This window comes from Homo sapiens, chromosome 14, assembly GCF_000001405.40.
Source record: "Homo sapiens chromosome 14, GRCh38.p14 Primary Assembly".
Taxonomy (NCBI): domain Eukaryota; kingdom Metazoa; phylum Chordata; class Mammalia; order Primates; family Hominidae; genus Homo; species Homo sapiens.
In genome coordinates this window covers 101,679,245-101,694,295 of record NC_000014.9, presented here as the reverse complement: position 1 = coordinate 101,694,295, position 15,051 = coordinate 101,679,245, and the positions used below count along the sequence as shown (strand labels likewise).

Genomic DNA, 15,051 nt, shown 5'->3' with positions numbered 1-15,051 from the left:
CCTGCTAATTATGCCAATTTTTGTTTCACTTATTCCAAATTGTGTTCTTTAGGGCCTCTAGATTTAGGATGTTGATATATTCTTGGTGGATTGACCTCTTTGTTTTGGTGAAAAGTCCTTCTTTTCCTCTAGTAATGGTTCTTGCCTTAAATCTTATCTGGTATTAGCATAGTTGTACCTGCTCTTTCCATTTTGTGTTTGCCTACTAGGCCTTTTCTCACCCCTTTTTTTCAACTTGTTTGTGATCTTAAATTTACATTAAAGTTGTACATCTTATTTTTTTAGAGACAGGGCCTTGCTCTGTCACCCAGGCTGGAGTGCAGGGGCAGAATCATAGCTCACTGCAACCTCAAACTCCTGGACTCAAGCAATCCTCCCACCTCAGCCTTCCAAGAAACTGGGACTATAGGCACGTATCACCATGTCCAGATTATTGAAAAAAATTTTTCTTTTGAGATGGAGTTTTGCTCTGTCACCCAGGCTGGAGTACAGTGGCTTGATCTCGGCTCACTGCAACCTCTGCCTTCCGGGTTCAAACAATTCTCCTGCCTCAGCCTCCTGAGTAGCTGGGACTACAGGCATGTGTCACCACGTCTGGCTAATTTTTTGAATTTTTGGTAGGAACAGGGTTTCACCATGTTGGCCAGGCTGGTCTTGAACTCCTGACCTCAGGTGATCCACCCACTCGGCCTCCCAAAGTGTTGGGATTACAGGTGTGAGCCACTGCGCCTGGCCGAAAGTTTTTTTGTAGAGATGGAGTCTTGCTATGTTGCCCAGGCTTGTCTCAAACTCCTGGCCTCAAGCTATCCTCTTGCCTCAGCCTCCTGAATTGCTGGGATTACAGGCCGTAGCTCTTGGCTGTGTCTCTTCTACATAATGTATGTTTGGGATGTTTCTTTATCACGTCTGACAATATTTTTTTCTTGTAATTACTAATATACTTAGGTTTGTATCTATGATATGATTATTCATTTTGTATTTCACTCACCAGTTTTATGTTCTTTTTTCTCCTCTCTGGCTTTTTCCCAATTTTTACAATTATTCTATTTTTCCTTCTATTTGCTTGTAAGTTATATATTCTCTTATTAGCCTTTTAAAAGTTACCCTAGAGATTACAGCACTTGTTTTTTTTTTTTGAAACGGAGTCTCACTCTTGTCGCCTAGGCGATGATGGTGCAATGGTGCGATCTCGGCTCACTGCAACCTCCGCCTGTTGGGTTCAAGCGATTCTCCTGCCCCAGCCTCCCGAGTAGCTGGGATTACAGGCACTCGCCGCCACGCCTGGCTAATTTTTTGTATTTTTAGTAGAGGTGGGGTTTCACCATATTGGCCAGGCTGGTCTCAAACTCCTGACTTCAGGTGATCCACCCATCTTGGCCTCCCAAAGTGTTGGGATTACAGGTGTGAGCCACCACACCTGGCTGAAATTTTTTTTGTAGAGATGGAGTCTTGCAGTGTTGCCCAGGCTTGTCTCAAACTCCTGGCCTCAAGCTATCCTCTCACCTCAACCTCCTGAGTTGCTGGGATTACAGGCCATAGCGCTCGGCTGTGTCTCTTCTACATAATGTATGTTTGGGTTGTTTCTTTATCACGTCTGACAATCTTAATATTTTTCTTGTGATTACTAATATAGTTAGGTTTATATCTATGATACGATTATTCATTTTGTATTTTACTCACTTGTTTTATGTTCTTTTTTCTCCTCTCTGGCTTTTTTTCAATTTTTACAATTATTCTATTTTTCCTTCTATTTGCTTGTAAGTTATATATTCTCTTACTAGCCTTTTAAAAGTTACCCTAGAGATTACAGCACATATATATATTTTTTGAGACAGAGTCTTGATCTTGTCACCCAGGCGACAATGGTGCAATGGTGCGATCTCAGCTCACTGCAACCTCTGCCTCTCGGGTTCAAGTGATTCTCCTGCCCCAGCTTCCCGAGTAGCTGGGATTACAGGTGCCCGCCACCACGCCCAGCTAATTTTTTGTATTTTTAGTAGAGATGGGGTTTCACCATGTTGGTCAGGCTGGTCTTGAACTCCTGACCTCAGGTGATCCACCCGCCTCGGCCTCCGAAAGTGCGTGAGCCACTGCAACTGGCCACAGTGCGTATTCTTGACTTGTGATCTAGTACAGATGTTTACTCTTTCGTTTCACCAATAATGCCAATCCATCACAATATTTTTAACTCCATGATTCCTCCCCACTTTTTGCTTTATTATTGTAACGTATTTTCTTTCTGCATGGATTTTAAACCCGACACAATATTTCTAGTTTTGCCTGGCACAGTCAATATTCATGTAGATTTGATCATACAATCATTCTATCTAGTGCTCTTCATTCCTGCCTGAGTTTCCATGTTGTTTTGGTTTGCATCATTTCCATCGATCTGAGGAACTCTATTATTTCTTTTAATGCAGACCGTACTGACAACAGATTCCCTTAGGTTTCTTTTTTGTCTAGAAGCGTCTTTATTAGCCCTTAGTTGCACCCAGATTGGCAAGTGCTCCCAGGAGAAAGTGGTTGCAGCTTGTTAGTGTCGGCTTATACTCCTGGAGGTTTTCAACTCTCACTCGTCCTCTGGGGCCTTCTCCAGTAGGTCTTTGTCACCTAAGCACCATGAGGTTGAAGGATATTCCACTTTGCTTTTCTAAATTTGGTGAATTATTTAGCCTCTCAATTGTGAAGCTGCAGGATCCAGCCTTTTTGAGGCCCTTAGTCTTGGATTTTATTATCTCAGACTCCCATGACCACTCGTATCTCGCTGGTTTTGCTTTTTGCCACAGTTGACCTGATTCCTGGGCCAATCTAAGATGGGCCAAGTTGAGACTTTACCTTATTTATTGTCCTAGAAGCTGTTAGGGGAGGAAGCTGTGCAGATCTTGAGGAAGGCAAGAACCATCGTGCAAAGCATTTGCCTCAGGAATGGGCTTTAGGTGAAAGGAGGCAGCTACCCTTTAACAAGCGGTGTGCATGATTTCCACAGGACTGGAGGATACGGGGGACTCTGGGTGTTCAAATTTCCCAAATGCACCCATCCGATGTCTCTTTCCCTGGTTTTAGGGTCCCACATCTCCCCTGGCAGAGCCTTGCAGGTGGCAGAGATTTGCCAGGGATATGAGGTTGGGCTTCTCTGTAATTCTATCCCCCTCAGCATTAGGTCTTGCCCTCCATCGACAGGAGAAGAGGTCACTTTCTGCGTTTTCATAGAGGCCTCTGCCTCTTACGTCATTCCATGTGTTAGTGGTTGGTTGACTTGAGCCATCATTTTCTCCCCTGCCTCACATCTCAGGCACTTCACAGCACACAGACACCTCCACCGCACTTAAAACTCCCCATTCCCTCGGCATCTTTCACATGCTACGGACATTTCACAAATGGGAATGGATAGGGTTTGGATTTGTGTCCCCGCCCAAATCTCATGTTGAATTGTACTCCCTATTGTTGGCAGAGGGGTTCGGTGGGAGGTAATTGGATCACAGGGTGGATTTCCCCCTTGCTGTTCTTGTGATAGTGAGTGAGTCCTCAGGAGATTTGGTTGTCTAAAAGTGGGTAACACCTGCCCCTTCGTTCTCTTCCTCCTGCTCCAACCATGTGAAGATGTGCCTGCTTCCCCTTCACTTCCCCAGCCATGCTTCCTGTACAGCCTGTGGAACCATGAGCCAATTAAACCTCTTTTCTTTATAAATTACCCGGTCTTTCTTTATAGCAGTGCAAGAACTGACTAATACAGGAAGGTACAACCTTTTTTCCCTGTATCTTCTCCCAGTTCAGCATATGTGACAGCTTGTGATGGCAATGCTGTGACATGCCCCATAGGGTGATGACAACCCCACTCACACTGTGTCCAGAATTGGTGGGTTATTAGTCTCACTGACTTCAAGAATGAAGCTGTGGACCCTCGCCGTGAGTGTTACAGTTCTTAAAGATGGTGTGTCCGGAGTTTGTTCCTTCTGATGTTTGGATGTGTTCAGAGTTTTTTCTTTCTGGTGGGTTCGTGGTCTTGCTGGCTTCAGGAGTGAAGTTGCAGACCTTCATGGTGAGTGTTACAGCTCTTAAGGTGGCGCGTCTGGAGTCGTCCATTCCTCCTGGTGGGTTCGTGGTCTTGCTGGCCTCAGGAGTGAAGCTGCAGACCTTCACGTGAGTGTTACAGCTCCTAAAGGCATTGTGGACCCGAAGAACGAGCAGCAAGATGTATTGCAAAGAGTGAAAGAACAAATCCTCCACGCTGTGGAATGGGACCCGAACAGGTTGCGCTGCTGTCTTGGGCAGCCTGCTTTTATTCCCTTATCTGACCCCACCCACATCCTGCTGATTGGTCCATTTTACAGAGAGCTGATTGGTCCGTTTTATAGAGCACTGACTGGTCCTCTTTATAGAGCGCTGATTGGTCCGTTTTGACAGGTTGCTAATCAGTGCATTTACAATCCCTGAGCTAGACAGAGTGCTGATTGGTGTATTTACAATCCTCTAGCTAGACCTAAAAGTTCTCCAAGTCCACACTAGATTAACTAGACACAGAGCACTGATTGGTGTGTTTATAAACCTTGAGCTAGACACAGGGTGCTGATTGGTGCATTTACAATCCTCCAGCTAGACATAAAAGTTCTCCAAGTCCCCACCAGATTAGCTAGATACAGAGTGCTGATTGGCGTATCCACAAACCCTGAGCTAGACACAGAGTGCTGATTGGTGCATTTACAATCCTCCATCCAGACATAAAAGTTCTCCAAGTCCCCACCCCACTCAGGAGCCCAGCTGGCTTCACCTAGTGGATCCTGCGCCAGAGCTGTGGGCGGAGATGCCCGCCAGTCCCGCACTGTGGCCCACACTCCTTATCCCTTGGGCAGTCGATGGGACCAGGCGGGCACCCCGGAGCAGGAGGTGGCACCGTTGAGGTGGCTCGGGCCGCTGGGGAGCCCACAGGGGTGAGGGGTGGGGCTTGGGCATGGCCGGCTGCAGGTCCTGAGCCCTGCCCCGTGGGGAGGCGGCTGAGGCCCGGTGTGAATTGGAGCACAGCATGGGCAGGCTGGCAGTGCTGGGGGACCTGGTGCACCCTCCGCAGCTGCTGGCCCAGGTGCTAAGCCCCTCACTGCCCAGGCAGGTGGTGTGGGCTGGCCACTCCCAGTGCGGGGCCTGCTGAGCCCCGCCCACCTGGAACTCGTGCTGGCCCGCGAGCTCGGCGCGCAGCCCTGGTTCCCGCCTGTGCCTCTCCCTCCACACCTCCTGGCAAGCAGAGGGAGCCGGCTCCGGCCTCGGCCAGCCCAGAGAGGGGCCCCCACAGTGCAGTGGCGGGCTGAAGAGCTCCTGGAGCATGGCCAGAGTGGATGCCGAGGCCCAGGAGGCACCTAGAGCAAGCGACGGCTGCTAGCACGTTGTCACCTCTCAACACCAGCGGCCCTGTGGCTAGTGGTCTCATTCCAGGGTCCCACTAGAGGATCTGCCTCCTACTCCTGGCTGTAAGAATTGAAGAAGAAAGAAACATGAAAAGTGGCTGAGTAGTCAAAGACAGGTTTATTTCAGAGAGTAAACCTGAGAGGGCCTTCTGGCCGAGTTAGGTTGGGAGCAGTCTCTCTTACAGACTAAGAGTATTTAAGGGTTCAGGGTGGGAGAGCTTATCACAGGCTTGAAATGTCCTGTGTCTCTTTGTCTTGCTTATCTGGGAGGGAGAGTTTTGTGTCTGTTCCCATACATCTTCCTGCACCTGCAGGCATACCCCCGAGTTTACTTTTAGCTTCCCTATCTTAGTGCACCTGAAAAGAAAGGAATGTGCTTATTTGGACCCACTGTTTTGCTGGGTCCCATTGTATGGGTGTGAAGCTTGGTGGTTACCCAAGAGACTTTCCCCTCTCTCTCCCTGCCTGAGCTGTCTTATCTGTGTTTTACCGTCTGCTCTTTCTGGCTGCTTGTTGTTAGAAAAGAAGTGATTTCCTTGAAATGCATGAGGTTAGAAAGGGAGCTGGAATTTAAAATGGTGGCGTTTGTCCAAGATGGCAGTGCTTCTGCTCTGTCACTGACACCAAGGTTGTAGATTGCATCCTTCCCAAAGTTGATCCTGAGATGAAAATTTGAGAGCAGGATGTTTATTTGGGTGAAGAAGTGATACCTGGAAGGGGATACAGCCAATCAAAGTTGTGTCATTAAGCCAGCCACCACAGGGAAACCAGAGCTTAACACTGTTGGGAGATGCTGGGAAGTTGTGTAACACACACACCTTAGAGTTATCTCACTTGGAGGAGGGCCAAGGGAGCCGAAATATTTATGCACCAACTTTCATCAGTCATTGGCGCAAGCTGTTTCAGAGGGTTGTTAATAGCCCGGCACTTCCGCTTCCCCTATGTGTGGGCAAAATGCCCTCAGGGTGGAGATGCTGAAATGGCAATGGGAAGTCACCTGGGGCATAGTGAGTGGAGAGTCTGAGGCAAGTAGGTGGGGCAGTGATGATTCTGCTCCATCCAACCATATTTTACCTGGTGCTGTTATTCACTAATGACCTTCACCTGAATCAGTTGTTATACTGGTGGTTGCAAAATTGTGATTTTCTAAATCCGTGACTTCTAGGTGAATTAACTGGCATTCTTTCACAAAAAGCTCCTCACCGTTTTTTTCTTTCTCTTTTTATGAATGCCACTACGGATGAACTTTGCTTTATGCAAATTGTCATCAAATGTGGTGTCAAGCTGGCTTCTGTGTCTTTTTTTTTGAGACAGAGTCTCACTCTTTTAACCAGGCTGGAGTGCAATGGTGCGATCTTGGCTCACTGCAACCTCCACCTCCTGGGTTCCAGCGATTCTCCTGCCTCTTAGCCCCTCTAGTAGCTGGGATTACAGGTGCATGCTACCACACCCGGCTAATTTTTGTATTTTTAGTAGAGATGAGGTTTCACCATGTTGACCAGGCTGGTCTTGAACTCCTGACCTCAGGTGATCCACCCGCCTCGGCCTCCCAAAGTGCTGGGATTACAGGCATGAGCCACCATGCCCGGCCAGCTTCCATGTCTTTTTGGCAAGAACCAGTCTTTGGCTTCTTCCTTGATTTTAGCACAGATGCCCTGACCTATGTTGGGCACCCCCTGTCCTGCACCTCGAATCAGCCACTTCTCTAAAGAGCTACTGGCTGGAAGGATTCGGTCTTTAAGATCAGATGCTTATGGTGCTCACTGGACCTGAGGAATTGTTGCTTGTAGTCTTTTCATGGGTCCTTTTATTGATATTTTCCCAGTGATCTCTGTTAGTTGTAACAGTGGCCTTTATTCCTTTAAACATTTTGCACACATTTTTTTCTTTTGTTTTGAAAATATTATTATTTTGAATAATGTAGCATAAATTAAAACTTTTAGGTTGGATGCGGTGGCTCATGCCTGTAATCCTAGCACTTTGGGAGGCTGAGGCGGGTGGATTGCCTAAGCTCAGGAGTTCGAGACCAGCCTGGGCAACACAGTGAAACGCCGTTTCTACTTAAAATACAAAAAAATTAGCCGGGTGTGGCGACATGTGCCTGTAGTCCCAGCTACTTGGCAGGCTGAGGCAGGAGAATTGCTTGAACATGGGAAGCAGAGGTTGCAGTGAGCCGAGATTGCGCCACTGCACTCCAGCCTGGGTGACACAGTGAGACTCCATCTCCAAAAAAAGAAAAAAAAAAGACTTTTAAGGAACTTAAGTACATATTTCCTGTGTCAATATATTTTATTTATTTTTTAATTGACAAGTAGAAATTGTATATATTTGTGGTGTACAACCTGATGTTGTGACACACTATGGAATGGCTAAATCAAATTATTGAACATATGCATCATGCCACATACTTATCATTTTTTTTGTGTGTGGTGAGAACACTTAAAATCAACTGTCTTAGGGATTTGCAAGTATATAACACATTGTTATCAACTGTAGTCACCATGATGTACAATAGATCTCTTGAACTTATTCCTCTTATTTCACTGAAATTTTGTGTCCTGCGACCAATATCTTCCCAATCCCCCAACCTCCAGCATCTGGGAACCGCTATTTTACTCTCTGCTTCTATAAGTTTGACTTTTTTACACTCTATATACAAGTGAGATTACGTATTTTTCTTTCTGTGCCTGGCTTATTTTACTTAATGTGATGTCCTCTCAGTTTATCCACATTGTTGCAAATGACAGGATTTTATTCTTTTTAAAGCTGAATAATATTTCATTGTGTACACATACTGTATTTTATTTGTTCATCTATCAATGGACACTTAGGTTGATTCCTAACTTGATTCTTGTAATACTGTAGAACATGGGAGTGCAGATATCTCTTTGACATACTGATTTCATATCCTTTGGATTTATACTCAATGTTGGGATTGCTGGATCATATGGAAATTCTATTTTTAATTTTTTGAGGAACTTCCATGCTGTTTTCCATAATGGTTGTACCAAATGTACATTCTTGTATATTGTACCTTGTACAACAGTGTACAAGATTTCTCTTTTCTCCACATCCTTGCCAACATTTATCTTTTGTATTTTCGATAAGAGCCATTCTAACAGGTGTGAGGGGATATCTCACTGTGGTTTTAATTTGCATTTTCCTGATGTTTAGTGATGTTGAGCATTTTTTCATACACCTGTTGGCCATTTGTATGTCTTCTTTTGTGAAATGTCTATTGAGGCCCTTTGTCCATTTTCATATCAGGTTGTTTTCTTACTATTGAGTTGAGTTTCTTATATATTTTGGATCTTAATCCCTTACCACACGTATGGTTTGCAAATATATTCTCCCATTCTGTAGATTATATCTTCACTCTGTAAAAGGAAAATAAATCTTGGGCCCCCAAATCACTAAGCTAAAGGGAAAAGTCAAGCTGGGAACTGCTTAGGGTAAACCTGCCTCCCATTCTATTCGAAGTCATCCCTCTGCTCACTGAGATAAATGCATATCTGATTGCCTCCTTTGGAGAGGCTCATCAGAAACTCAAAAGAATGCAACCGTCGGCTGGGCGCGGTGGCTCAGGCTTGTAATTCCAGCACTTTGGGAGGCGGAGGCGGGCGGATCACAAGGTCAGGAGATAGAGACCATGGTGAAACCCTGTCTCTACTAAAAATACAAAAAATTAGCCGGGCGTGGTGGCGGGCGCCTGTAGTCCCAGCTACTCGGAGAGGCTGAGGCAGGAGAGTGGCGTGAACCCGGCGGGCGGAGCTTGCAGTGAGCCGCGATTGCGCCACTGCACCCCAGCCTGGGCGACAGAGTGAGACTCTGTCTCAATTAAAAAAAAAAAAAAAAAAAAGAATGCAACTGTTTGTCTCTCATCTAACTGTGACCTGGAAGCCCCCTCCCTGCTTCGAGTTGTCCTGACTTTCTGAATGGAACCAATGTACATCCTACATATATTGATTTATGTCTCATGTCTCCCTAAAATATGTAAAACCAAGCTGTGCCCCGACCACCTTGGGCATATGTCATCAGGACCTCCTGAGGCTGTGTCACAGGCGTGCATCCTCAACCCTGGCAGAGTAAACTTTCTAAATCAACTGAGACCTGTCTCAGATATTCTGGGTTCACATTTTGGTAACCACGAAGGGATTCTGAGTGGAGGTGCCCCTGACGTTTGACACATCTCCAATTCGTGCTTGGTACCAGCTTGAGCTATCTTTATGGCTCAAACCAATGGAACAATTTGCTGAGGCCTGGAAGCAACCCCTCCGGAAAATCCCTGATCTCCCAAAATTTGGTCGAGATCTAAATTTTATTTTGCTGTACGACTCCTTTTGTGGAGTTTTACTTGCTTCCAGCACAAGGAAGGCAAGTTTTTCCTGCTTCCATCACGATGGAAGGCAGGCAACTTTTTTATGGAGTTTGAACTCACTCCCAACAGGGAAGATGAGTTTTGAGTTTTTTCCTGCTTCTAGGATGGTAGAGAGCAGTCTTCGCCTGAGACCCATCCCTATCTAAGTAACTGAATGGAGGTTTGTTTTGGCTAAAGTTAAGATTAACAACCAGCTGGTCTTAATTTCTCCTTACCATTTGAGCACTCAGTAATCACACACATTGTGTGATTATTTGTTTCACTTAATTTTTTTTATTGTTTGTTTTTGTTTTTGTTTTGGTGTTTTTCCTTGATCAAATCTGAAGGAAAGTTCCAAATTATGGGGAACAGGTCCTCTGAACTGGCTAAATTCCACCCCCCACCCCCACACACAAAAGGTGATGTGGTGGGGAGAGAAAAATAGCCAGCACAAGGAAAAAAAAAAAAAAAAAGGAAAGATTTTTTATTTTGGCCACTTAAGGGGCTTTATTTATTTACACAACAGGGCTATGTTTTTGCTAGCCAGTCCAAACTGAAAGAGCGATGGCTGTCGCCCCATGCTGCAGTTTCATAGCTAAGGTTCTGCCTTCTTTTTTTCCACTATGACAGCCTGGGTTTGGTTCCTAAATCAAGCCCTTTCTGGTTTGATACTTGTACTTCTGAAATAGCAGCAATTTGTCCTAGCTAAAATATGGTAATGAGGTTTAAAAAGATTTTTTTAATAGGAGCTCAGTGGTTAAAAGTCAGCTTAATTGAAGATAACATCCAAGATGTGTGTGTATGTATGCATGTGTGTGTGTATGTGTGCATGTGTATGTGTGCATGTGTATATGTATGCATGTGTGTTTGTATGTGTGCATGTGTATGTGTGCATGTGTATGTGTGTGCGTGTGTGTGTGCATGTGTGTGTATGTGTGTGCATGTGTGTATGTGTGTGCATGTGTATATGTGTGTGCGTGTGTGTGTGCATGTGTGTATGTGTATGTGTGCATGTGTGTATGTGTATGCGTGTGCCTGTATGTGCATGTGTGCATGTATGCACGTGTGTATGTGTGCATGTGTGTGTGTGTGCATGTGTATATGTGTGCGTGTGTGTGTGTGCGTTTAAGAGGCTTTCATGTTTTTGTTTTTTTCCCTCTCCTAGGACCTTGTCTTTTTTTGAGCAAAGGTTTTTCTTCTCAGTTGATTTAATTCTATTTTCTCCATTTACTTCTGCTGTCTCTCCTTTCTCTTGCATGTTCTGCTGCATGAGGGACCTAAAATAGTTTATAATAGCCTGGATTTCCTTAAAGAAAATGGGGAAGGCACCAGGCTCCCTGTTTTTCCTTATGGAATCCCAAGAGTGTAAACAGACAAGTTTGTCTCAGCTCTTAAACTGCTTGCTTTTGTATTGTGTTACCTGATTTTTTGACTAAAATAGCTATTGTAACAGAGGCTACTCTTGGGTTTTTAAGGAAGACTGTAGTGTAGACACTTAGAAATGTCTTTGACTGAAAAAAATTTTAAGTGTCCTGTAAAAGCATCACGTGTTCTAGCGTCAACTCTCCCTTTTTGGAGACCCAGGATTCAGTGTGGGCTCTGCCCAGAGCTCAGAGATCTAGTTAAAAGATAGGTAGTTCCCACCTAAATAAAATTGGTCTCCTTATACAATCCTATCATAGATTTCTATAATTTCATGTTTGATTTGGCATTCATCTTTAATCTCCCTCTAGCTCCACCAGATTTTTTCTCTCTGTACCTTGAGATGTAAATTTTGCCATTTGATTTTTCTTCTAAGAGTTATTTCCTTCAATATGCAGACTTAGGGCTATTTACCTGACAACTGCCAGGGTAATGAAACAGGTTATCAAGAGTTTGAAAGTCTAAGGTAAGAAAAAAAAAGGTCTTAGGAATCTATAAGATGTACTTCTATTGGTATGCCTAATACATTTATGTATTTATGTGTTGTGTACACGTTTCACTACTAAAAATATATAAAAGAGCTCTAATTAATTGGCTTAAAGGAAACTAAAAGCACTTAAATCAAATACTTTACCAGAAAAAAGGAAATACTAGTCAAATGCTTTTTCAAGTTTACATGACTTAAGTAAAATCTTTAATAAATAAGCTAGCTTTGAAATTATTGGTAAAGTAATATTAGAAATGTCTTAAGAATTTCCAGCATACATTTTTGTTTGCATTTATTGATTAAGCAATTGCGTACTTATCCCTGCCAAATACTATAAGGTGTCAAAATTTGGCATCAGGGTTACGAAACTATAAACTCAGCCCCAAACTGAATGATCTTTGCTTGTGTAATTTTTAATAAATAAGACATTGTTATTGGTTTAGTGAAAATAGTCATCTTGAATTATCTAGTAAAATTACCATAACTTCTAATCTTGTGGCTTTAGCAGCCTAGTCCACAGGCAGAAAGGAGATTTGTTTTGGGAAAGGACAGTTAGCATCTTTGTTTCAAACCTAAACTATAAACTAAGTTCCTCCCAAAGTTAGTTCGGCCTATGCCCAGGAATAAATAAGGATAGCTTGGAGGTTAGAAGCAAGATGGAGTAAGTTAGGCCAGATCTTTTTCACTGTCTCAGTTATAGTGGTTTCATAAGTTTAAATGACGACTCTCACAGTTTTCACAAATAATCTAGGTAAATGATTAAAATAAAATAATTAGGTACATTTAATGGGATAAATACCTATAGGCATACTTAGAATCATAATTTAGAATCTAAAGTTAAATTAAACAGTAGATATTTCATTATTTGGGTATTTTCCAGTAAAAATATATTGTAGGAAAACATGCTTTCTAAAAAAATGTCCTTTTAAAAAGGTGAATTGTTTTTGTCTAATTCAAAGCTTATTTAGAGGTTATGTATAAAACAAGGTAAAAGGAACCAGGAAATAAGAGAGATGTAAAGAAAGTTATAGAAAAAAGAGGTATTTTTTTGGTAAGAAAGCTTAAAGAGAAATAATTTTATACGAGAAAGAATCTCGTACGGTAAATTTTGTCCTAGAATAAAATGACTGGTTGTTTAAGAAAGAGGGTGTTGGCCGGGCGCGGTGGCTCACACCTGTAATCCCAGCACTTTGGGAGGCCGAGGCGGGCGGATCACGAGGTCAGGAGATCGAGACCATCCCGGCTAAAAACGGTGAAACCCCGTCTCTACTAAAAATACAAAAAATTAGCCGGGCGTAGTGGCGGGCGCCTGTAGTCCCAGCTACTTGGGAGGCTGAGGCAGGAGAATGGCGTGAACCTGGGAGGCGGAGCTTGCAGTGAGCCGAGATCCCGCCACTGCACTCCAGACTGGGTGACAGAGCGAGACTCCGTCTCAAAAAAAAAAAAAAAAAAAAAAAAGAGGGTGTTCAGGATAAATCAGAAAGTCCAAACATGTCATGAGTGGTCTGTGTGAGTCACAATAAGTGGATTTATTAAAAAAAAAACACCCTCAAATGAGTTCATGTCCATTGCAGGGTCATGGATAAAGCTGGAAGGTGTCATTCTCAGCAAACTAACACAGGAACAAAAAACCAAACACCCCATGTTCTCACTCGTAAGTGGAAGTTGAACAATGAGAACACATGGACATAGGGAGGAAAACATCACACACCAGGGCCTGTTGGGGGCTGGGGAGCAAGGGGAGGGAGAGCATTAGGACAAATACCTAATGCATACAGGGCTTAAAACCTAGATGACGGGTTGATAGGTGCAGCAAACCACCATGGCACATGTATACTATGTGACAAACCTGCACGTTCTACACATGTATCTCAGAACTTAAATAAAAAAAAGAATTAATTAAATGAACTAATAAACATACCGAAAAAGCTTTAAAAGAAAACAAGAAAAGAACCCAAAAAGTTTTATATGATCAAGTTGTCTATAACTAAAGGGAAATTATAATGACCTTTCTAGAGATTGGGTTTAATGTAAAGAAAATCACTTATACATTAAATAATTGGTTAGAACAATGAAATTTTCTTAAGGGGTTGATTTACTCTTAATAAATTATAAGATATTTTAATTTTTTTTTTTTTTTGAGATGGAGTCTTTCTCTGTCGCCCAGGCTGGAGTGCAGTGGCGTGCTTGGCTCACTGCAACCTCCGCCTCCCAGGTTCAAGCAATTCTCCTGCCTCAGCCTCCTGAGTAGCTGGGATTACAGGCACATGCCACAGTGCCCGGCTAATTTTTTTGTATTTTTAGTAGAGATGGGGTTTCACCATATTGGCCAAGCTGGTCTTGAAGTTCTGACCTCAAGTGATCTGCCCACCTCGGCCTCCCAAAGTGCTGGGATTACAGGCATGAGCCACCGTGCCAGGCCGATATTTTAATTTAAAAAAATTATAACCCAAAGTTCAACTTTTATTGCATCTCATCATTTTTGTTTCCTCTCCCCTTTTAAAAAGTGCAAAATAACACTGTCCTTCAACTCATTTTTCAGCTCATGTAAGTTTTTTTCGTATTGGGTTCTGTTTGTTGTAGCCTGATGCTAACAATGTTTTCTTAAGGGTCTAAAGAAAATGTTTTCTTCCAACATAATATTCAGTGCACTGCAGAAGGTCTTTTATTTTGCCTCTTGGTAACTGGCCTAACAGATTTTTACGTTTTATCAAAATAATTCCTATGCCATTATTATTAAGTTTTGATTTGCTTAGAAAAAAACTGAGATTAATTTTTTTAAAAAAAATTATGGTTATTACATCCGTGTATCTTTCTGTATGTGCTTTTAAAGTCCTCGTGACATTGAGTTGTGGGGCTTTGACTCCTTCGCCCAAAAAGGACATGAAGTCCTGCTAAATCTTTTTTTTTGGAGACAGAGTCTTGCTGTGTTGCCCAGGCTGGAGTGCAGTAGGCACAGTCTCTGCTCACTGCAAGCTCTGCCTCCCAGGTTCATGCCATTCTCCTGCCTCAGCCTCCTGAGTAGCTGGGACTACAGGTGCCTACCACCACGCCCGGCTAATTTTTTGTATTTTTAGTAGAGACGGGGTTTCACCGAGTTAGCCAGGATGGTCTTGATCTCCTGACCTCGTGATCCGCCTGCCTTGGCCTCCCAAAGTGCTGGGATTACAGGCGTGAGCCACCGCACCCGGCCAAGTCCTGGTAAATCTTAAACACTGACAACAATTAAAGCCTCATCTTCAGGCCTGGTAGAAAGTGCCAATCAAATTAAACTGCGTTCCTGAGACAGGGCCAGAAACTAAACTATTCAACTCCTCAAGGCCCAGAACTATTGCAGAAAAGGTGGGTGTATGAGATTGTAAGGGCTGATTTTGAGAGATAAAATAAGT

The 15,051-nt window shown here is 43.4% G+C and overlaps 1 long non-coding RNA gene across 1 annotated transcript in view, besides 1 other annotated feature; it reads left to right on the top strand.

The window, feature by feature from the left end:
• LINC02320 (long intergenic non-protein coding RNA 2320) overlaps positions 1 to 15,051 on the top strand; it is a 102,958-nt gene that overhangs the window by 37,011 nt on the left and 50,896 nt on the right. The gene's annotated exons all lie outside the window — the stretch shown is intronic.
• Positions 4,798 to 4,961: a silencer, noted in NCBI's record as "fragment chr14:102155672-102155835 (GRCh37/hg19 assembly coordinates)". NCBI's record gives its function as "represses an EF-1alpha promoter that drives an FKBP-Casp9 reporter gene in an ReSE screen in both phorbol 12-myristate 13-acetate-treated (for megakaryocytic differentiation) and untreated K562 erythroleukemia cells {active_cell/tissue: K562 | K562(+PMA)}" and the evidence as "EXISTENCE:reporter gene assay evidence [ECO:0000049][PMID:32094911]".